The 25432-nt window shown below is 34.3% G+C and overlaps 1 protein-coding gene across 9 annotated transcripts in view; it reads left to right on the top strand.

Annotated features, from left to right (window-relative positions):
- Positions 1 to 25432, top strand: part of CSMD3 (CUB and Sushi multiple domains 3) — a 1214012-nt gene that overhangs the window by 334196 nt on the left and 854384 nt on the right. For all 9 annotated transcript variants that reach the window (NM_001363185.1, XM_017013010.2, NM_052900.3 and 6 more), the window contains one exon: positions 3781 to 3988. In NM_001363185.1, coding sequence (NP_001350114.1) covers positions 3781 to 3988 — 208 coding nt within the window. The remainder of the gene's footprint in view (positions 1 to 3780; positions 3989 to 25432) is intronic.

The raw sequence follows: 25432 nt of genomic DNA, 5'->3' as shown, positions 1-25432 counted from the left end.
AGCACACAGGCCCATTACCTTGGTAAAAGTGTCAGTGAAGCTGCAGGAACACCCTTCCCTCTGCTTTTCATGTAGTTACTGCTTACTATTTTGCTTTGTGTTTCTGGTCCAGCATCACTTCCTCAGGAAATTCTTGTTCCTTAATTCGATAACTAGTTCAAGGTCCCAAACATACAGCATTAGTACTAAATGTTCCTTCTTCATAGGACCTGACAGAAATGTAATTTTATGTATTCACTTTGTCATTTGCTTAGAGCCTGACTCACTAATAGAATACTCCATGAGAACAGGGATCATGAAAACGTTTTATAGTCATTATAGTCAGAGAGATTACATGGTTTCCTCCTGGCACTTGGAAGATCTCAATGAATACTTTTTGGACAGATGACAAAATGAATAAATTTTGTTTCACAAGAAGTTTATACAAATAACCAATATGATCCTATGTGTATCTTGAGCCTCTAAGGAGATGGTTCTATGGAACAACCTTCTGTGAACCCCCCACTTTCTGTGAATTGTTGGATAGAAAATGCTGTAGACATCATTTATTAATCAAGCAAGCCTGGAGGCTGTGACAGAGTAATGATGAAAGAATAGAAGGCTCTATCCTGTCATTTACAGGATATGTACCAACTCATTTTGAACAGAGACCAAGCCATGGTATTTAGCAGAAAGAGCACAGCACTGGATTCAAGAGTTTCATGGTTTGTTCTAATGCTGCCTTTTACTTGTCCCAAATCCACTATAAGTTCTTTTTAAATTGACTTAGGTAGTATGTTCTGCTATGAATTCATAATTACAGAAAATATGTTGTTGTTTTTTTTAAAATATTGCCTTGAATTCAGCATTCAAGTAGGGACACCAAACCAAAATTTTTTTTAATCTAACATTTACTGAAGAAAAGTTTACCTATTTCACCATTTTGTCAGATACTGATTCTATGATAGTCTCTGTCATAACAAACAAATTAAACAGAAGTGTTGAGCATAGAACTCAGTACAAGAGTCGACATGAACATTGGTTTGAATGCTGGAGGAACTGAGTCCCTATCCTTGTTTTCAAGTGAAAATTAGTCATACATTTGAACAGAAATTATTTTGCTGTAAAATCAAGATTTCCTTGAAGTGAGTTGTTTTCTGGGTTGTTCTCTCTTCCATGTGTCAGGAGTGTAGAGTTATTTATCAGCATTGTGAGTCTAGGTTGAGGAAATTCAAAGAGATCATGTAGAGAAATTGATTTCTATGCCTTGGAGCTTACGGAATATAATATATTATTATTATTAAAATGATGGATAAAGTATTTAAATGTCTATTGTGAACCCAAAGGACTGCATTTTGAAAGAAACTGCATTTCCACAGAGGGTGAATAAATGGGTGTGTTTTCATTTGACTAAATGCAGGATTTTTGTGAGGGAGTTCTGGCTTGGCATGGTCTTACATGCTGTCCAAGAGGCCAATCTCAAAAGGTGAGGAGACATTTGGAAAGAAGATGAAACTGTACTGTTCTATACCCATAGCATGAGACAGAAATGTAAGCAGCCAGCTGGAGAGACACAGTCACCCACAGTAATGGAACTGATGGGGACACCTCTGTGGAGCCCATGAAAGGGCCTATGAGTGAAAGAATCATCTTTCTTTAATTGTCTGTCAAAGCCCTTAGAAACCAGTGCCAAATTAGTGTTAGGAAAATAAGAGGATTCAGATCCTCTGATCCTTCCTACTTGTAACCCCAGGAGGCTCATAGAGATCTCAGTGAGAAAGGGGAGGATGAACAGAAATACTAGCAGGGAAACAAGGAAGGAGACCGACTTCTCCATCTCACCTCTGCCCCACCTCTGCTCCATCTGCCACAAGTCCAAGGTATAGGGAGCAAAGAAGCTTAATCAAAATGAAGTTAATTTCTTTTTGGTTACCCAGGACTGGATATATTAATTGATGGATTGTGATTTTTTAAGTTAAATCATTTATTTTTAAACAGACAAAAGTAATGTATATTTATCATGTACAAATGACGTTTTGAAATATGTGTTCATTGTGGAATGGCTACATTGAGCTAATTAACGTATGCCTTACTTCATATACTTTTTATTTTTGAGATGAGAACACTTGAACTATAATCTCTAAACTGTGGGATTTTTTTCTTTAATCTGAGTGTGATCCAGAATGTTATGTGTCTCCTTCAGATTTTATCCAGAGGAAGGAAAATAAATAGCTCAGTGAGCTGGTTTAAATAGATTGTGGGCCAGTTAAACTGTGAATATATGCTAGTGAAATAATTTATTATCAAAGCAGTATTCAATGTTGGTCTTGGTACTTGAGAAGGGAAAGAATAGAAGTGATTTATGGTTGAGGGTAGAGACGGCAGGACAGGATTACTAGAAGATTTAGGTCTTGAAGGCATTGGTAAAAATATTTGTAGTAGTATGCCACATGGTCTAGACAAGACAACTAGTTCATTTCAGTTATCTAACAAACTTAAGAGAGAAAGAGCACACAATAAAATTTTTAAAAAATATATTTAGTGTGTGATAAAAGTTAAATATATTTTAAGACGAACATACTTACATTTTTGATTTATAGATTATGGAGGTAAATGGATAAAGAGCAAGAAAGAAAAAAGCTAATACTATTTGATGCATATAATACAGTAATAAAGTTGTCTCTAATAACAAAGCAATTTTTTTTATGTTCTACCCATCATGGAATTGAATACAAAGATATTGTCCATCTCCATTTGTTTAGGTTCTGGAGCTATCGGTCACATCAAATAATAATTGGTCATTATAGAGCCAGAGTTTTCCTCAAAAACTTGAAGGAATTCCCTGAGTTGGCCAAGGCAATAACATAAGTAATAAGACAATTTATTTCACAAGTGAACTTGTAACTTATTAGCTTGACTGGCCTAAACAATGTTATAGTAAGGCAAATGCCCCAGCTTCAATTCCTTTATGAAACAGGAGCTTTTTCTTATGTTTGCATACCAAACACAGCTACTCATATAACCACGCTGCTAGTTCCTACCATCAGCCAAAAGTAGACTAGTGGAGAATCTATGGCCCCAATTTGGAAACTCAGAATCACAGTTCCAAATGTAAGGTTAGTCAAAAAGTTATTTATGGTGTTGTATCTATGTACATTATATGACTATTTAGTAAAAGATACATTGTTTGATTTCATATGAATATATTTCTAAAGTTATATTAGTTACCCTATTATTTCTCTGTAAACAAAATATCCTGGATATGTGATATATTTTTATTTGAGTTGTATTTCTACAAACGTTTTTCAATAACTTCTGAAACATACCATTGACATGAACTATATTATATTGTCTCTTAAATTATGTCTTTGTGTTGTACATACTTGCATTGAAAAACCAAAAAGCTCTTCCGTCAATAAACAAAGTGATCAAAGATTTCCCATCACAGACTTTAAGATACATGTTTCCTTTGTTTAACTCACTTTGTCACTTAAACATGAAAATAAAATCTTGATTCTATTTTCCTAATGTCTAATTTTAGAGTGTAGATTTTTTGCTTACTTTTATTGCTATTTCAACTAATTGTTATAAAATTGTTAAGATATACTTTATACTTGTATATGTGCTGATACATTTTTTCATAAAATTCTCATTTTATTTAATCTCTATTAGTATATTATGCACTTGGTATCACATTTGAACTGTTATTTTTATCCAAACATATTGACTTGCTTTACTTACAACTGAACAATTGCATTTATCTCAATAACTTACAACTGAATATTTTGTCATTTTTAACAGCTGAAGATGCTTGTGGAGGAACAATGAGAGGATCCAGTGGCATCATATCCAGCCCTAGTTTTCCTAATGAGTACCATAACAATGCTGATTGCACTTGGACCATTGTAGCAGAGCCTGGGGACACAATTTCACTCATATTTACTGATTTTCAAATGGAAGAGAAATATGATTACTTAGAAATAGAAGGTTCTGAGCCACCTACCATATGGTAAGTAAATAGCTTCTATTAACCTTGCATTGATGTTGTTGAAGCAAACTAAGGAACAAAGAACAACTGAATGTGGACTTTTACAGGTTTGGATATTTAAAAGATCTTACAGGAAAGTTATGTGAAGAGGTTGTCAGAGCTGAAGGATATTTTTGAAGATCGAGCTATTTACATAAAAAATAGATGAAATTCAAAACTTGTATAAACAAATAAAAGTTATTCCTATTGTAATCTACAGTTGTGTTTTTTAGCATGCCAGTCCAAACTTGATGGTTTCTCTCAAATTAATTGAATAGTCTTGGAAGTAATTTTCCTTTGTTTAAGCAGACTTGTTATATACCTTGTTATCTGAAAGCAAAAATTAAACACCATCATCTGGGGGAATATGGTTTGTTTCTTTAGAAACTCAAGGTATGGTCTAATGAAACCTGCAAAGTATTCAGAACATGCTTTTAAGACATAATATTTTTAAAGTAAAATGCTTCTTTATGCTATTTTAAAAATTTGTATCTAATTATATCATTGAGTAGATTATGATTCAGTAACTGAGTGAAAGAATGAATAAGATGACACTGATAAAGGAAAGAGATAGGTAAACACTAGACTAGAGAGGATCTTTTAAGCCATGTGAAGATTTGCTAAGAACCATGGGAATTTATCCAAAACAATTACTTGAAGATGTTTGAATATCCAAATGATTATTCTTACTGAAATGAAGAGATTGATTTGAAGAGGGACTCGATTCGCTGTAGGAAGATCACTTAAGAGATGATTGCAGTATTCCAAGAAAAGATCACGGTAGCTGGAATTAGAGTCATATTAATGAGGTAAGGAAGTAGACTGAGTTGAGAGATACTGATGATGTATAATCAAAAGGACTTTGTAATGGACTGGGGGGTGATAAAGAAGGCAGTATTGAAATAAAACCTAGTTTTCTGATCTGAACAAATGGTGAAGGCAGTAGTAATATTCACTGAGTTGGAAATTGTTGAGGAAAGGTTAAGTTTGGAATGAGAACCCTGTAAATATTGAGATTTGTTTTGAATATATTTAATTGGAATATTCTTCAAGATGTGCAATTAAAGCCATCTACTAGACAACTATATTTCTTATATGATTCAATAATTTAGAGTAGAAGCACAACACTGGTATTTAGTTAATATTGATGGTAAGTGAACCAATAGGCAACAATATAATTGGATATATAGAAAGAGGATAAAATGAGAAAACAAAGGAAGACTGGGACTGAATCTGAGACTTAACAACATATAAGTCCTGGACTTAGAAGGATGATACAGAAAAGAAAACCGAAGGAGTCATTTGAAAAGGTAAGAGAAGGAAGTCTTGTGAAATACTTTCATGCAGACAAGGGAAGAAAGAGCAGGCCTCTTTGGTGCTTTAGACACAGAAGCACTTAGAACAATGCTGTTATGTAGCAGGCACCTCAACAAGTATTTGTTGAATAAACATTAAACAAATGGAATTCTAGTAAAAATCAAAATTAAGTTTGGAAATAATTTTAAAGAGCATCTAATCCAACTCTCCATCCAAGGCTTTGTAAATAGTTATTTACAAAGTATTGTATTTAGTGAACGTTTTACTTCTTTGTTTCTGTCATAGCGTCTAAGCTGACAATGCCATAATATCAGAATTAAGAGAAACCTTGGATGTTATAGGTGAGAACCTGAGATCTAGGGAGGTGACATGACTTACCCATTGTCATCCATCAACAAGGAGCCAAAGCTGAATCTAGAACAAAAGCAGTAATCAACATAAATAAGGTACCCCTACACTCTGTCTAGAGAGTGATAAGAAAGAAAAGATGTGGAAGAGTAAGAGAGGTCAAGAGAGCAAGAATGTTTTGATGAGTGTGTAGCTTACTTAATTGTAAAGTTGATATTTGAGCAAAGTCCTGATGAATATAAGGAAGTTAGTCAACTGGATGAGCCTTCAGGCAAAAATGACATCTAGAGCAAAATACTTAAAGCAGAGTGGGCCTTATTGTGTTGTAGAAACACCTAAGAAGCCATTGTGGCTAGAAAAGAATGACCATGGGTAAAGGCAGTAGGAGGGAAAGAAAGATAATTAATAGAGCCTGGCTCAAGATTCATCTGTCTTTTACTTTAGATGAAATGTGAATTCACTTGAGGGGCTTGAGCACAGTAATGACATGATTGACCTTATTACTTAAAAAAAAAGTCACTGTGGCTACCGTGTGGAGAATAAACTATAGGAGGGAAAGCTAAAAGAACAGACATTATTTGTGGTATGTAAGTGAGAGTTTATAATTATGAAATAAGAAAATAGCAGTGGAGGTGAGGCTAAATTATTGGGTTTTCAAGATAAATGATAGAATTTCTTGAAATGTGAAGTTGGAGAAAGAAAAGAATAGCTCTAAAGAATATCTCTAATAACCTGCTAATACAGATCCCAGATTATTTGACCTGAAGAACTGAGCAAATACAATTTAAGTTAACTAATATTGGGAAGGCTATTGATGAAACATTTTTGGAGGGATGATGTGGAGCTTAAATTTGGATGTGTGAAGTTTGAGATGGCTAATAAATCTGTAGTTGAAGATTTCAAGGGGACAGTTGGATATACAAATCTTAGTTTCAAGTCAAAGGTGTGGGCTGAACTTCTAAATTTGGAAATCTCAAAGTGGAAGTAATTATTCCTGTTTCTACCAGTTGAAGTGATTATTAAATTTAAAAAAAGGAAAAAGAAACTAATACCTGAGTTGTGGGACACTCCAACACTAAAATGTCAGCAAAATTAGGATGAACCAGTAAAGGAGATTGAGAGTGAGAGTAAATGAGATAGGAGGAAAAACAATACAGTACAGTTATCCCTTAGGGTCTTCAGGAAATTGGTTCCAGGACCACCCCTGATTATACAAAAATCTTGGGATGCTGAAGTTCCTTATATAAAATGTAGTAATATTTGCATACAGCCTACACACATGCTTCCATATACTTTAAATAATCTCCAGATTATGTACAATACCTAATATAATGCAAATGCTTTGTACATAGTTTTTAAACTGTATGTATCATTTTGTTGTATTATTGTTGTATGGATTTTTTTTTCAGATATTTTTGATCTGTGATTGGTTGAATCTGCTAATACAGATCCCACAGACATATAAGATTGACTTTATAAATTTTCCTGGAAACCAAAAGAAAAAATTATAATGGAATTGGCCAGTTGTCAAATGTGAATGATAAGCTAATAAAATAAGCTCCAAAACTGATCACTGGATGTAATAACATAGAGGTCATTGGGTAACTCCGATGAAAGTAATTTTGTAGGTGATAGGCTGACTGGAGGGGTTTGAAGAAAGAATTGGAGAAGAGATATTATAGGCAATTACTATAAATAAGTTGTTCAGGGAATTTTGCAAGAAAGAGTGTTGGGACAATAGGTTAAAAAGAAAGTAGGAGCAAGGGAAGAGTTTTTTTCTCCTTTTTTGGAGCTTATTATAAAATACGTTCCTAAATTAATAAATGGATTTAGCAACATGGAAGTCACTGTTAACTTTGATGAAAATAATTTTGCAAGTGACAGTGTGATTGGAATAGTTTTAAGGGAGAATTGGAGAACAGATATTATGAATAAATTGTTCAGGGAATTTTACATAATAGATGCACGTAGTTTTGGGGTATATGTGATTTTTTTTTTTTCTGAGATGGAGTCTCACTCTGTCACCCAGGCTGGAGTGCAGTGGTGCAATCTCAGCTCACTGCAACCTCTGCTTGCAGGGTTTGAGTGATTCTCCTGCCTCAGCCTCCCGAGTAGCTGGGATTACAGGGGCGTGCCACCACATCTGGCTAATTTTTTGTATTTTTAGTAGAGACGGGGTTTCACTGTGTTAGCCAGGGTGGTCTCCATCTCCTGACCTCGTGATCTACCGTCCTCGGCCTCCCAAAGTGCTGGGATTACAGGCATGAGCTACCGCACCTGGCCCACATATGATAATTGAATACATTTATATAATTTGTAACAATCAGATCAGTGTCCTTGGGATAACCATCACCTTAAATATTTGTCTTTTCTGTATGCTAGAATCATCTACATTATTCTCTTCTAGCTACTTTGAAATATACAATAGATTATTGTAAACTATAGTAAATTAATTGATACAAATACATGATTTGATAGAATAAATAAGACCTAGTGATAAATAGATTAGTAGCGTGAGAAGAATTTTTATTTATTTTGTGGTTTTGCTTGTTTATTGGCAGAGTTAATACTGTGATGGTGATCACCTACCAGACATTGAAAAATTAATGATAAAGAGTGGGGAGAATCATTTAAGCAAAGTGAAGGAGTAGAGATAGTCAAAGAAATCTTCCCTTTGAAAATCTGTCTGTGAAAGGAAGGAGGAAAAAGTTACAGTAACTAAAGGGTGAGGCAGAAGAAGAAAGTGAAGATTAAAAGACCATTTAGGGGGCTGCTCTATGCCAGAGGCTGAATGAAATTTCATTAATTTGGAAGGTCTGCATATGGAAATAAAAGGTTAAAGGCTGATTTTCAAAGACTAAAGTTAGGGAATGAGTGATTGAATATCAAAGAGAGTAATAGTAATTTCTTCAGATTAGATTATGGAAAATATGTAAATAATAATAGAAAGGTCAGAAAGACATTTTAATACATTGGGCCCAGAAGATAAATAATGATTTCAATTGGTAAGATGTAGGTTGCAGATAAGCACTATTCCAAAAAGAATATGTCCTATTGGATGTTTGACTTAATTATGATATATAGTTTGAAGTAAGAATAAGAATTTTTAAGTCATTAAAAATGAAATACTGGCTGAAGTCAAGGGAACAATATGGTTATCAAGATCAGAATATTAGTGAAAACATGGCATGCAGGTTATATAACATAGAAAATCTATGTAATGTTATTCAAATTAAGAATGCAATAAGGTATGTAATACATTTTGTTTTATTAAAATCGTTTTGCACAATTATTTATTTTTATTAGTTGGTTAAAATAATACTAAACATTTAGATTTAAACTAACAAATTTAGTCAATACAAGTTTCCAGTGAAGGCTGACTCCCATCTAAAGGTAGTTCCTCCATTTGTGCACTGTTCCTTCTCAACTACTCAGGAGTGTCATGCCCCAATTTTCTTAATTCTCTTTTATACCATCAATTTTTGCTCCCTAATCGATTACTATTAAACTAGCTTACCCATCATTTCTCTGGAACTGTCTTTTACAAAATGAGCAATAACTTCTTAGTTCCTAATTTAATACTTATCTCACTTGATTTATCTGCAACATTTGACTTTGTTGATTATTACCTCTTTTCCAGAACATCCTTCATTCTTATTCACTGGGATGTCTTTTCTTTCTTGTATCTTTTTCTATTACTCACTGACTATATCCTTTCAGACTTTTTCTTTTCTTTTTTCTTCCATCATCCATTCTGTATATGATGGCATCTACCCAGCTTTTTTCTCATCTTTTGTTTCTGTTCACCCTACTTTGGAATGCATAATTTCCTGTGACTTCAACAATCTAAAGATTTTGTGATTTTTCTCCTTCCAGATTACTTTCTCTCTTGCTTTGTTTCTATCTGTACACATATCTTTGCTCAAATAACAGGATCTTAATGAGAACTTGGATCTCAAAATAAACAGAATGCCTAGCCCTGAACATTTCACACTATACTTATTTTACATACATTTGTGAAATGTATAAATAATTTTTGTTCCACATATAATTTGACATCATTGATAATCTGCTTTTACATGTTTTTTCCAATGGTTGTACTTGATTTGACTGAAGTTACATAAATTAGTTTGGATTAGGTTTAACTATGAATAAAAGAAAATATAAGCAAAATGCAAACAAAAACCAAGAGGCTAAAACAAGACACAAGTTGTTTGTGTTTTGTTTTTGTTCGTTTGTTTGTTTTTAATGCAGGTTTCTGGAGGTAGGCATTTATGGGAACCGCACCACCACCACCTAGTATCAAACACTCAGGATCCATTTATTTGACTGTTCTACTTGTAGGTTACTTTCATTCCCAAGATCATATCTTGTTCAAGTTGAGCCATTAAGTTACACTTCAAACGGTAGGAAGAAGAACAAGGAAAAGGAAAACCCAAATGGCAGTCATCAGCTACCTCTTAAACAAAGTTTTAGTTGCTGACCTACATTTTCTATTTCATTTTCTCCTATTTCTGCTTATATCCCATTGGCCAAAATCTAATTACATGGCTATTTGGCTGTTAGGGACTCAGGGGAAAGCAATCCTTATTCTAGCTAGTTATTGCCCAGCTAAAATCCCATTTTTAGGAAAGAAAAGGAGAAAAGGTGTTAGAGGATAACTAGCAATCTCTGATACATGGTTTTTATTGATGCAATCCCTGTAGGAAAAATGTGTATAATGAATACTCACTAGTATTTTACATATTATAGAAATATGTGTGTGTTTATGTTTATGTCTATACTGGCACAGATAGATACAGTAGTAGAAAGTAAACTTTCCTTTGATAATCTGCCTGTGAAAGGCAGGAGGAAAAAAATACAATAACTAAAAAGTGAGACAGATGAAGAAAGTGAAGATTAATAGGCCATTTAGGAGACTGCTTTATGTCAGAGGTTGTAAGGAACTTAATTGATTTCGAAGCTCTACATATGGGAATAAAAGGACAAAGACTGTTTATCAAAGACTAGAGTCAGGGGAATGGGTGATTGAATATCACAGAGTGTATGATCTTTATTGCCAAAAATAGATACCACAAATAAGGTATAGATACCACATATATGGGTATACAAAACCTATGTGATACAGAAAAAGCAGTACTAAGAGGAAAGTTTATAGCTACAAGTGCCTACATCAAAAAAGAAAAACTTCAAATAAAACACCCATGATGCATCTTAAAGAACTATGAAAGCAAGAGCAAACCAAACTCAAAATTAATAGAAAAGCAATAATAAAGATAAGAGCAGAAATAAATGAAATAGAAATAAAGAGAACAATATAAAAGATAGTAAAACAAAAAGTTGTTTTTTTGAAAAGATTAAACAAAATTGGCAAAGTTTTAACCAGACTAAAGTAAAAGAGAGAGAGAGAGATGGAGAGCAGATACACATAAGTAAAATCAGAGATGAAAAAGAAAACATTATAATTGATACGGCAGAAACTCAAAAAATCATCAGTGGCTGCTGTGATTAACTATATGCCAATAAATTGGAAAATCTAGAAGAAACTGTTAAATTACTAGACACATACAACCTACCAAGACTGAGCCATAAAGAAATCCAAAGCCCGAACAGACCAATAACAAGTAATGAGATCAAAGATATAATAAAAAGTTTTCCAGTAAAGAAAAGCCTGGGAGTCAATGGCTTCAGTGCAGAATTCTACCAAACATTTAAAGGAGAACTAATGCTAATACTATTCAAACTATTCTGAAAAATAGAAGAGGAGGGAATACCTCCTAATTCATTCTATCAGACCAGTCTTACCTTTGCTCTACTTTAATAAATACTTTCATGAGCATTGCTCAGAGCCCCTACAACTTTGACACTAAACTCCAAAGTTCCTCTTGCTTACTCCTTTCACCTATTTTTAATTTAATCATAATTTCTAATGCTTGGCATATTTTTTTTTCTGTAATTTATTAACCTATTACTTAGTCCTAGCCAAGAGGAAACACCTTTTTCATTTTGATAAGAGCAAAGTATAAAAAGATAGATATATCTCATTTAAGTTTATAAGTGCAGTGACCAGAAATTGAACTCTCTCTATGTATTTTTTTCTAATAGTTTCTAATTTCTTTCTTAAGAAAGAGGCAAAATCATGTCCTGAAAGTGAGGAGAGGTGGTAGGTTAGGATATTTTAGCAGAGTGAGATTTATTTGAAATACTTTCTCTGGAGAATGTGAGAAAAAGGGGGTGGGAATCAAAGGATTGCTGGGCAGTATTTTGAATAGGGTTGAGATTTCACAACATATGTTTGTAAGAGAAACAATTATAAGCTTGCATAATTTTTCTACAGCAGGCTTGTTAACTTATATGTAAGCATAACAAGACAGGCAACAGCATTGCTGGGCCATGGAATATTAGGACAATGGAGGAGGAGATTGAAGATGTTGGCAAAGCACAGTGTGGATGGGGAAGAAAGGGGCTTCCAAAGCAGTTTGCCTCTTCTAAGCACATTAATTTTATCCATAAATTTTATTCATAAGTCTGTATAAACAATTTATTCTTGTCAGTTTGTGTAGAAAGAAACAAATTGTAACAGAGAACCTACAATTTTCTAAAATATTAGAGAATGTAAGGTTTTAATAATTGAGAACTTATCTTATACTGGTATATTTGTTTCTAATATGCAAATAGCTTACATTTTTAAATAAACAAATATTTCAAATTTTTTCATCTTAATAAGACAATTTTCTGAATACTTTTAATAATTCAGATCATCAAAATATAATTTCTTGATTTAGGCATTACTTTTGAAAGTCACCTCTGCAACTCCCCTCCATTAGCATCTTTTTCATGAAACTAGCCTATGCCTAACTTGACTAATTTCTCTTATCTAGTAAATGCTTACAGGCAAATATTTTAGCCCCAAAATCCTTTGATGGCATGGATTTAAAAATAAGTAGCCAATTCATATAGGATCATTTTCATACAAAAAAAGCATAAAAGCGAAACATTAAAACTTCCTTTTAAACTCACTGGTCCCTTCTACAATGACTTTCTCTGCTACAATGACTTTAACTTTTTTTTTCTGAACACTCATTTTCTGTTCAACATACCTCCCTATATTATTCTACAAAACGGGATAATGGTTAGTCAACCAACAGTCATCATGGTTAGTCAAAAGGCAGGTGCTTTCTTTTTTATTTTATTTTATTTTTCGCTTTGTTTGTTTTCCAGATTAAGCATAGAACAGTAGGATATCAGACCTTATAAGATGATATGGAATTTTCAGTTCTCGAGAAAGCAGACAGACTCTTGGGAGGAGCTGCAAAGTCCAATAACAAAGGGCATGATAAAGAAAGGCAAGTGACACAAGTGATAAAGGAAGACAAGTGAAGACTTGCACTATACTTGCCTTATTTGCACTATAGTCCATAAAACCAGATGATTTTAATGAGATTCAGCATCTTCTATATTTCAAAATAATGGGTATTTAAAAAATTAATATCCCTTTATTATCTCTCTTGCAATAAAAAATTTCAGGGTTTTTCTTCCATGTATTTAACAAGATAATTACATATTTATTCTGCTATATAGAAGATGACGTGTCATTATTCAATGTATTGTTAACTCTATGTCTTAGATAATATGATTTATGTTCTAAATTAGTACTATGACTTGTATTTAAATTATTTTGTGGAAAATAGAAAAAAATAGCTACCTTAGAATTCCTCTTGAAGAACAATTGCCTTTGTTAAGTGATTGGCTAAAAATGACACCCTTTGGCATAGAACAGATTGGCTAGTAGTGAGATTCTTCCATTGTTCCAGGAATAACATTATCTGCAAATAATACAAAAGAAAAGAGGAAAACCAAGAGTGATGTTGAATGAAAATTATGTATTGAAAGAGGAGAGTGGAGGAAGTTGAAAAGAAAAGTAGTACATCAGGGAATTCCTTCAGTGAAGATTGCTTTAGTCCATGGTTCACTGCCATGGTACTCCAGCCTGGGCTACATAGCAAGACCCTATCTCCAAAAGAAAAAAAAGAAAGAACACGAAAAAAAGAGAAATTCTCTGACAGAGTCATGACTCAGAAAGTTTGAAGAAAAATATGTGTTTAATGTTCAATATTCAGGTGTATTCTTTGCTGGTGTAGAATGTAATCCTTAATCCCAGTTTGCTGGAGGAATTGTTTGTATACATCTTTATTTATTTTATTTTTTTATTATTATACTTTAAGTTTTAGGGTACATGTGCACAGTGTGCAGGTTAGTTACATATGTATACATGTGCCATACTGGTGTGCTGCACCCATTAACTAGTCATTTAGCATTAGGTATATCTCCTAATGCTATCCCTCCCCCCTCCCCCCACCCCACAGCAGTCCCCAGAGTGTGATGTTCCCCTTCTTGTGTCCATGTGTTCTCATTGTTCAATTCCCACCTATGAGTGAGAACATGCGGTGTTTCGTTTTTTGTCCTTGGGATAGTTTACTGAGAATGATGATTTCCAGCTTCATCCATGTCCCTACAAAGGACATGAACTTATCCTTTTTTATGGCTGCATAGTATTCCATGGTGTATATGTGCCACATTTTCTTAATCCAGTCTATCATTGTTGGACATTTGGGTTGGTTCCAAGTCTTTGCTATTGTGAATAGTGCCACAATAAACATACGTGTGCATGTGTCTTTATAGCAACATGATTTATAGTCCTTTGGGTATATACCCAGTAATGGGATGGCTGGGTCAAATGGTATTTCCAGTTCTAGATCCCTGAGGAATTGCCACACTGACTTCCACAATGGTTGAACTAGTTTACAGTCCCACCAACAGTGTAAAAGTGTTCCTATTTCTCCACATCCTCTCCAGAACCTGTTGTTTCCTGACTTTTTAATGATTGCCATTCTAACTGGTGTGAGATGGTATCTCATTGTGGTTTTGATTTGCATTTCTCTGATGGCCAGTGATGGTGAGCATTTTTTCATGTGTTTTTTGGCTGCACAAATGTCTTCTTTTGAGAAGTGTCTGTTCATGTCCTTGGCCCACTTTTTGATGGGGTTGTTTGTTTTTTTCTTGTAAATTTGTTTGAGTTCATTGTAGATTCTGGATATTAGCCCTTTGTCAGATGAGTAGGTTGCGAAAATTTTCTCCCATTTTGTAGGTTGCCTGTTCACTCTGATGGTAGTTTTTATTTGCTGTGCAGAAGCTCTTTAGTTTAATTAGATCCCATTTGTCAATTTTGGCTTTTGTTGCCATTGCTTTTGGTGTTTTAGACATGAAGTCCCTGCACATGCCTATGTCCTGAATGGTATTGCCTAGGTTTTCTTCTAGGGTTTTTATGGTTTTAGGTCTAAAATTTAAGTCTTTAATCCATCTTGAATTAATTTTTGTATAAGGTGTAAGGAAGGGATCCAGTTTCAGCTTTCTACATATGGCTAGCCAGTTTTCCCAGCACCATTTATTAAATAGGGAATCCTTTCCCCATTTCTTGTTTTTGTCAGGTTTGTCAAAGATCAGATAGTTGTAGATATGCGGCATTATTTCTGAGGGCTCTGTTCTGTTCCATTGATCTATATCTCTGTTTTGTTACCAGTACCATGCTGTTTTGGTTACTGTAGCCTTGTAGTGTAGTTTGAAGTCAGGTAGCATGATGCCTCCAGCTTTGTTCTTTTGGCTTAGGATTGACTTGGTGATGCGGGCTCTTTTTTGGTTCCATATGAACTTTAAAGTAGTTTTTTCCAATTCTGTGAAGAAAGTCATTGGTAGCTTGATGGGGATGGCATTGAATCTGTAAATTACCTTGGGCAATATGGCCATTTTCACGATATTGATTCTTCCTACCCAAGTTAATCTTCTGAATAAGAAGTTGGTGGATTCATAAAAAAGATGCCACTTTCCACGTATGTGGTTTGTGGTGGGTCCTTTAGAAAGACAAAAACAACCATAGGAAATGAAACATGAGTGAGATCAAGAGTAGTCAAAGAGAAATTTGGAGTGGAAAATGACTCTTAAAAAAATAAACTCCTAGGAATTTGCAGAAGTGTGAGAGAGAGAGAATCAGGTGTCTTTCATTTGCTATGCGATGCGGTTCCAACAAAACATATTCAGATATTAAAAGAGATGACTTAGCTGACACCTAGGTTACACTTTGCCTTGTTGGAAAACACACAAAGAAGTAAAGCCACATATATTAAATTTTTAAGTTATTAAAGATCTTTGATTGAGAAAATGAACGTCCTCAATAGGACACTGATTTAAACTGAAAACTCAATTTTCAAGGAAAATACAGATCATAGTACCAATTTGCTAAAGAGGATTAGAATATAACTCAAGAAAAACCAATAAAATATCATACTTTAAAAATAAACCCCTATTCTTTCAATGTCTTTTGCAAATGCTCATATTCTTAATTAGCATACGTAAAGCCAAACTCAGCACTGTTATACTCAGTAGATATGCCTGATGAAATGCAAGATATATTACAAATATTTATGATATATTTTCTTAATATTTAACAAAATAAATTAGAATTACACAAGTCAAAAGCTCCCAATAATATATTTTGAATATATTTTGAATTTATTTTGCCTCTGTCATATTGTTTATGAAGAATTGTTATTTTTCACACTTTCTACTTCTACAAGTCAAATTTATTGGTGACTTCCTACTTCTACAGGTTCAATTTATAACCTATTGGAATGATAAATTACAAAACGTCATGGTTTATAGTGTTAGAATTTATTCTCTATTTCTATAGATTGATTGATGGAACATTACAGGATGGGGCGTTATCAGGAATTTTTGATGTACTGGTTGGTTGGCTCTTTTTTTTTTTTTTTGACGGAGTCTCGCTTTGTTGCCCAGGCTGGAGTGCAGTGGCGCGATCTCGGCTCACTTCAAGCTCCGCCTCCCAGGTACACTCCATTCTCCTGCCTCAGCCTCCCGAGTAGCTGGGACTACAGTCGCCCGCCACCCACGCCTGGCTAATTTTTGTGTGTGTGTGTTTATTTTTAGTAGATATGGGGTTTCACCATGTTAGCCAGTATGGCCTCCATCTCCTGACCTCGTGATCCACCTGCCTCGGCCTCCCGAAGTGCTGGGATTACAGGCATGAGCCACTGCACCCAGCCGGTTGGCTCTTTTTATTGGGAACATTCAAAATCCTTTCTTCTAGCTTTTTGAACAGACACAATGAATTATTGTTAACTATATTCATCCTCTATTGTTCTAGAACACTAGAATTTATTTCTGGGAAGTAGATGTAATTTCATATTCATTAACTAACCTCTCTCTAGCACTCTCCTCTTACACTTCTCAGCCTCTGATAACCATAAAATTACTCTACATCTATGAGCACCATTTTTTTTAGCTCCCACATATAAGTGAGAAAATGTAGTATTTAACTTTCCATGGGTGACATTTCACTTAAAATAATGTTCTTTAGGTTCATACATGTTGCCATTAATGACAGGATTTCATTCTTTTTTATGGCTGAATACTATTCCATTGTGCATATATACCACCTTTTCTTTATCCACTCATGCATCAATGGGCATTTAGGTTGATTCCAAATCTTAGTTACTGTGAATAGTGCTGCAGTACACATGAAGATGCAGATATCTGTTTGATATACTTATTTAATTTCCTTTGTATAACTATTCAATAGTGGGATTGCTGGATCATATGGTAGTTTTAGTTTAGTTTTTTGAGAAACTTCATACCGTTTTTTATAATGGCTATAGTGATTTACATTCCCACCAAAATTGTATGACTTTCCTTTTCTCAAGCACCTATTTAGATCTTTGCCCCCCTTTTAACTGAATTATTTGTGGGTGGTTTTTTTTTGGCTGAGTTGTTTGAATTTTTTGTATATTCTGAATATTAGTCCTTTGTGGATAAATAGTTTTAAAATATTTTCTCCCACTTTGCAGGTTGTCTCTTCACTCTGTTGATTGTTTCCTTTGCTAGCCAAAGCTCTTTAGTTTAATAGAGTCTCATTTGTTTATTTTGTAATCATAAAATATTTGTACAGACCAATGTCCTCAAGTGTGTTTCGTATGCATTCTTCTAGTAGTTTTATAGTTTCTGGTCTTACACATTTAAGTCTTTAATCCATTTTAAATTGATCTTTTTTTTAAATAGAGAGAGATATGGGTCTAATTATATTCTTCTGCATATGAATATCCAATTTTCTTAATACTATTTATTGAAGAGGGGGTTCTGTCCCCAGTGTATGTTTTTGACATCTTTGTCAAAAATCAGTTGGCTGTAAATATGTGTATCTATTTTCAGGTTCTCTATTATGTTTTATTGATCTACGTATCTGCTTTCATACCAATGCCATGCTGGTTTACTTACTATAGTTTTGTACTATATTTTGAAAACAGGTAGTGTGATGTCCATGGATTTTTTTCTTTTTTCTTAGTATTGCTTTGGATATTCATGGGTTTTTTTTTTTTTTTTGGTTCCATTCAAATTTTAGAATTTTTTTATATTTTTTATATTTAGAATGTCATTGGTATTTTGATAGAGATTCCATTGAATCTGTATATTCCTTCAGGTTGTATGGTCATTTTAGCATGTTTAATTTTTCCAATCCATGAGCATGGGATACCTTTCCATTTGTTTATGTCATCTTCAATTTCTTTATCAATACATTTTAGTTTTTATTGTAGAGATCTTTCACCTAATTGGTTAAATTTCTTCCTAATTATTTTATTTTTTTGCGCCTATTACAAATGGGATTTCTTTCTTGACTTATTTTTAACTAGTTTGCTATTAGTGAATAGAAATACTGCTGATTTTTGTAGGTTGGTTTTTGTATCCTGAAACTTTACTAATTTTTTTATCAGTTTTAAAAGCATTTGGTAGAGTCTACATTTCTCTAGATATAAGATCATGACATCTGCAAACAAGGATAATTTGGCTTTCTCTTTTGTAATTTGGATGCCTTTTATTTCCTTTCCTTGGCGAATTCCTTCATTTTAAATCTTTGTGTGACTTTATAAGAGAAAAGAGTTTTCTAGGCTACATATACTTGTGTCTTGTTTTTTATTCGTTAGCCAGTCTATATCATTTTATTTTTAAAATTTTCCTTTATTATTATTTTTTTCAAGGAAAGATCTTGCTCTGTTGTCCAGACTGGAGGGCAAAGGCACAAACATAGCTCACTGCCACCTCAACTTCTTGCCTCAAGTGATTCTCCTGTATCAGCCTTCTGAGTAACTGGGGCTACAGGCACATTCCACCATGCCACCCAGCTAATTTTTAAATGTTTTATAGAGACAGAGTCTGACCACATTGCACAGGCTGACCTTGAACTCCTGGGCTCAAGTGATCCTCCCTCTACCTTTCAATTGAAAATTTTAAATTGTTTACATCCAAAGTTGTAGATAGGTGAGATCTACTCTTGTTATTTTGTTGTTTTCTTATTGTTTTGTATATTATTTGTTTCTTCCTCTCTTACTATTTATATTTTTTCTCATTTGTATATCTTTTATACCAGTGAGTTGTATACTTTTGTTTGTTTTCATGATGGTAGATATTGTACCTTACTTCCAGATATAAGACTCCCTTACACATTTATTGTAAGACCATTATAGGGGTGATGAATTTCCTGAGTTTCTGCTTGCTTGGGAAAGACCATATTTCTTCTTCATTTCTTAAGCATAGCTTAAGAACTTAAGCTACCTAGCTTTGCTAGGTAGTTTTCTTACAGCTTTTTTATTATTATTTTCAGCACTTTGAATATATCATCTCATTCTCTCCCGGCTTATAAGGTTCCTGCTGAGAAATCTATTAGTCTAATGAGCATTCCCTTATATGTGACTTGACATTTTTCTCTTGCTGTTTTAGAATTCTCTCTTTGTCTTTGATTTTGGCAGTTTCAATATAGTGTGCCTTGAAGAGAAATATTTCATTTCTGTGGTCCTCTTCAAGGCACATTGTATTCAAACTGCCAAAATCTATCACTTTAATCAGTTTGGGGATCTATCTGCTTCCTAGATCTGGATGTCTAGTTCTCTCCTAAGACATGGGACGTTTTCAGCTATTATTTCATTAAATAGATTTTCTGTGCCTTCTCCCGTATCTTCTTCTAGAACTCCCAAAAGGTGAATATTTGTTTGCTTAATAGTGTCTCATATATCATGTAGGCTTTATTCATTTTCTTGTAATTTTTTTTGTCTGAGTGTGTTATTTCAAAAGACTTGTCTTTAAGTTCAGAAATTTTTTCTCCTGCTTGATCTAATCTATTGTTGACACTCAATTGTATTTTTTAATTTTATTCATTGTATTTCTCAACTATAGGATATCTGTTTTGTTCCTTTACATGATATCTCTGTTGAATTTCTCATTCAGATTAAGAATTGTTTTCCTGATTTTTAAAAATTGTCTGTGTTTTCTTGCTTCTCACTGAGTTTCCTTAAAATTATTATTTTGATTTCCTTTTCATGAATTTTATAGATTTCCTTTTCTTTGGAGGTGTCAAATTTCCTTTTTTGTTTTTCTCATGTTTCTTATGACCCTATATTGATATCTGTGTACCTGGTGTACACACTTCTTCCAATTTTGTGGAGTAGATTTATAGGGCAAAGTTTTTTTTCTGTAGATTTATCTATAGTATCTGTTGGACAGAGTGCTTTGGTTTTGGTTCTGATTGGGCACAGTTGTATAATCTTTGTATGATTTACTTAGCTGTAATCAATTTCAGTGATATCTGTGAGTTCCTGAGTAGGTTAGAATGCATTTATTTGTGGAGACTGGATGCAGCTTTGCTGGGAACAGGGACAGTGGACAAGCTGATCGGGGGTATGCACAGGACCAGCAGTGGGGGTGATGGGCCCCAGGTGGGTCTATCCTCACACTCCTGGGTAGCAGGCAAAGGCACAGCTGCCCCATTGCTGAAGAGGGTGGGTTTGGCATGCAGTAGCAACAGGTCCTAGGTAGAGCAGTCCTTGGGCCCCTGGCAGAACACAAGGGCATCAGTGGTGCTTGCAGTGGGCCCCAGCAGGCTAGTCCTTGGGATGGTGAGTGGCACATAGTGATGGTCAGGGTGGGAGTGATTGTCCAGGTGGGCCAGTTCTCAGATCCCCAGAGGGCATGCATGGATGCATAGTGGCTTCCCTGCTAGAGGAATTGATGTTCTTGCTGGCAGCTGCAGGTCCGGGTACGTGGCTCTCAGGATCTGGGGAGTTTTTGCTTTGCCTCATATTATCTGGAGGTGAGCCACCCTGTTGTGCTCAGCTGCCTAATTTCCTAGAGGTATAGGGGTACTATGTGGTCTGAGGTGCTAGGTTACAGCTATACTGCTGGGTCAAGCTTGTGACATGTTGCTGCAACCATTTGGATTGGTTTGGGGAGAAATCTGCAGAGTCCCAGGGATTTTTGAGATGCGGGGAGTATCAAGCCCCAGGGCAAGATGTAGTGTGATGGTGGCTCTGCTCTCAAAATGATACCATGCTGTAGCAGCTTGGGTCCTAGAAGGCGGGAGAGACCCAGCGTGAACTCTCTGGAACAACGCAGTCACAAGAGACTCCAGGTAACTCCCTATACTCAGGGTATCGGGGTGCTGAGGGGGCTTTCCTCTAGCTAGTACTGCAGGTGTATATTGTGGGAATGTGGACTGCTGAGGATCTTCTGCTTACCTTTTTCCAGCAGTGGGGGAGTCCCAACAAAGACACAGGGGTGAAAACCATTTGATGATTCTGGTAGAGATTGAAATGACACACCTCCAAGCCAAGGAACACTGAGAATTTGTCAACTACCACCAGAAGCTAGGAAGAGCCAAGAAAGTTTATTCTACAGAGGCTTCACAGTGAACATGGATCTGTAGAAACCTTGATTTTGAGATTATGGTATCCGGAAACATGAAAAAATAAAATTCTATTATTTAAAGCCACCCAATTTGTGATATTTTGTTATGGCATCTTTAGGAGCCTAATTAATAAAATTTGCAGTAATTTCTTACATTTTCACAGTACATTTAAGGTAATAGCTAAACTTTTTAATATCCTGTACATTATTTTTCCAAGTATTCAAAGAAGAACAATATAAAATTAAAATATGATGTTGTTACTATGTTTTCATATTAGATATGGAAGATGATTTGGGAGAAATAAAATTTAAATTTCCAATTCTATCTAACAGAGAACTAGAAGATATAGCAGTTTTTGCTCATTTTGTCTTTCATTGCTTCAAAATAACAGGAATAATGGCATACATGAAAATAGCTGATATCGAGAATGTAAAAATATCGTGAGTTTTTATTGTGTTGAATCTTACTTAAGTAGAACTGAAGGAAATACATTCATATGGTCTGCATTATTTATTTCAGTCAAATTTGGTTTCTCTGGTTAGAAACTACACCTAGGGAAATAAGCCTTCTGTAAACTTCATGAACAAACGTAATTTTTCACTGACTCTGTGCTTTTTGTAATGAAAATATTCATAGTAGTAGAAAATCTTATTGTGCCTGAAAAATGAATGACTTCCTTATTTGGGTTTCCATTATATTTTGCACACACCTCTATTATTGTACTCATCATATTGCATTAGGGAGATATTTTTGTCTATCTCCTCTGTTAGATAGATAACTCCTCAAAGGCAAATAAAATTATTCATTATATGTCAATTTTCTGTGCCTAGCATAGTGCTTCGTCTGTGGTAGGCTCATAATGAATATTTATGAATTGAAATAATTATTGAATTCATAGCTTCAGTAGTTACATCCACAAGGTGTAGTTTATATTAATGCCACTTTCAAGTAGTGAAAAGCATAAAAATTGTTTTTATGGACATTACTCAATTAAGAAAGAGAGATGTAAAATAATTTAATTACTTACCTGTCATGGGATTTTAGTGCAGTCTTCCCATGTGTATAGTTGAGTGGATTGACAAAGTGTTTTGTTTTATTTAAGAAGTGCTGAAAACCATCTACTCATCAAACATCACTCAGTATATGTTCCAGAGAACATGTTAACGGCTAAATAAAAACAAACAAACAAACAAACAATCCTCTGTCCTTCCCCTAAGAGAGAGATGAGTGAAAATTCCAAAAACTGAGGCAGAAGGTGCCATGCAAGTTCAGAAAAAGAGCATCTCAACTTAGAAGTGGAGAAATGTGGAGAGAAAAACAAACAAACAAACAAACATTTAAAAATACCAAGGCTATGTATTATAAGTTGAAAACGACTTTAACATCTTGCTTATATGACTTTGCGTATTTTATTGCAACAGTGCACTTAAACAGGAATGTCTTATTTCAAGTAATCAAGAAGTCAGAATATTATAACTGAACACAGAAGCACTGGTTTCTGTGACTTCTCAAAGAACTCCAAAAATATAGCATCAAACGAAAAAAACATTTCTGAATTTTAACTTCAACAGTCAAAGATTTAGGTTTTGTTCTTCTAGTGTGCCTTTCCTTATCTGTATCATGTCTACATGATTTGTCCTGATCTAAGTTTCTACAAGAAGACTGAGGTTTCAGTCCTAGCACTCAAAAAGTCTTCATTTTTCTCTAATAAGGTCACCAAATCCCTGAAACTCATGATGCAACCTCAGATGCAGTCTTTGTTAAATTTTGATAGCAGCTATATATAATATTCTCTTTACTTAGGAAGATAAAATGTAATGAAGCTGAGTTGAAAAAAAAATCAAAGTGTGATACTAGGGAAAATTGTTCCAGTCATTGTCTCACTATTGCCAGCAAGTTCATTTGGGAAATAAGAATATCTTTGGTAGAAGTATTAATGTAGATTTTGTATTAAGATAAGAATCTTTAATTTGCCAATCTTAGAATTTGCTAGGAATGTATTTTCCATCTACATTTTTCTACCATTATGTATTGAACAATGACATTTATTCTGAGAAATCCCAAATTGATTATACTATCTCAATCATCTGCTCGATTTTACTATTTTATTTAGAAGAGTAAGTTAGGATAATTAGAGATAATAATTACTCTTTAAAAGGTGAATGGCAAAAGAATGTATTCAAATATATTTTTTCTGGGTCAGGGTTGCTTAAATCTTATAATAATAATCTTTGCTCAAAGAGAAAACATATTCTGTCTGTGAAGCAAACATCTTTTTTTTAAACAGGTGTTGCTTCAATAATCTTGAATGTTTCATAAATTATCAGGTACATATTAACTAGGACTCTAACCTTCCCAGTATACTTTGCTCCAGGAGCCCTGGCTGCGTTCTCTAAATGTAATTGTCTAGCTTTGAAGGTATTTTGTGAGGACTGCTTTCTGCGGCATTTACATGCAGATGGGATTCTTAGGAGGACTCTGTGCAGCTATTACTCTGTGAATAGAATATGAAAATGATGCAGTTCCTTTAGGTAACTGGCAATATTTTCAAACTAATTTTCCTCAAGGAGGAAAATAAATGGACTTTATACTGAAGATTTCTACCTTCATTAAAAGCTCATGTGGGTGTTCAAAAATTAACCAGAAGATGTGACCCTATTAAACCCCCCAAATTTATGTAAGAGCAAAATGACTAAGATAAGTCCAAATAAAGTCATGATACAATTGAAATTTTATGTTCATGTATTTTATTGAGAGGTAGTCTGAGCTTTCATTTGATCAGCTTCTAATTTCCTTTAATGTAACAGTATTTTAGAGCATAGAACGTGTTTCATGTTTAATTTACTAAATTGAAGTTATTTTCCCAATGGAAGTGGCATACATGACATTGGGTGTTCATCATTTTGTATGCCATAAGAAAACATTTAATCTTTCTGTTTGATCTCTAATTTGTCTTAACGGGATCTCAGTAGCATAAGCAAAATTAAATAATAAATAAATAAATAGCATATCTCCTATTCCCCAGAACCACTCAGTACAGCTGTGCAGGTGACACAATGTACAATTTCAGGAGTGTCCAATAATATGATAGTCTGCATAAATGACATTCCTGAGTGTTGTACAGTACACAGCCTGTGTGACTGTAAATGGCATCTTATGCCAGCATTGAATATAATTTGTTGTTTAGCCTGATTTTGCCAGGATGTTCTTCCCTTGCCCTGGGTATACTCATGTGAATAGATAGTTTTTAACTCATTGAGTTATTATTGATAAGTAAAGAAATGTCTTTTCATGCTTTTGTTTACATTTAATTTCTAAAATTTAATTTGATTTAATTTTCCTATACTATAAGATCACTTGACTGGGATCAAAGCAATCTACTTATTTTCTTTAAACATGCTGTATAAACCAATTAATGTTTCATTTTCATACTGTTTCATTAGAAATAATCCTCTTCCTTAAAAAGCCATATAATTTTGAGATCAATTATGCTCCTATTTTAAACCTTGAATGTTAGCTTCCTTCAATTGGAAGTGTATCTTAGAGTTTTGTTTTTGTTTTTGTTTTGAGACAAGAGTCTTGCTCTGTCACCCAGGCTGGAGTCCAGTGATGCGATCTCGGCTCACTGCAACCTCTGCCTCCCAGGTTCAAGCGATTCTCCTGTCTCAGCCCCTGCTAGTAGCTGGGATTACAGGTGCATGCCACCACACCCGGCTAATCTTTGTATTTTTAGTAGAGATGGGGTTTCGCCATGTTGATCAGGCTTGTCTGGAACTCCTAACTTCAGGTGATCCACCCGTTTCGGCCTCCCAAAGTGCTGGGATTACAGGCGTGAGCCACTGACATTCTTAGAGCTTTTTATATAAATTTGCTAGCATAATGGTTTTTTTATAACTGTTTTTAAACTTTAATTTTATTTTTTTTTTGCTTTTAGTAACTTTTTAGAGTGTTTTTACATT

This window comes from Homo sapiens, chromosome 8 (genome assembly GCF_000001405.40).
Source record: "Homo sapiens chromosome 8, GRCh38.p14 Primary Assembly".
Taxonomy (NCBI): Eukaryota; Metazoa; Chordata; class Mammalia; order Primates; family Hominidae; genus Homo; species Homo sapiens.
The sequence above is the reverse complement of the archived record's forward strand: the minus strand, read 5'-3'. Positions and strand labels throughout refer to the sequence as shown.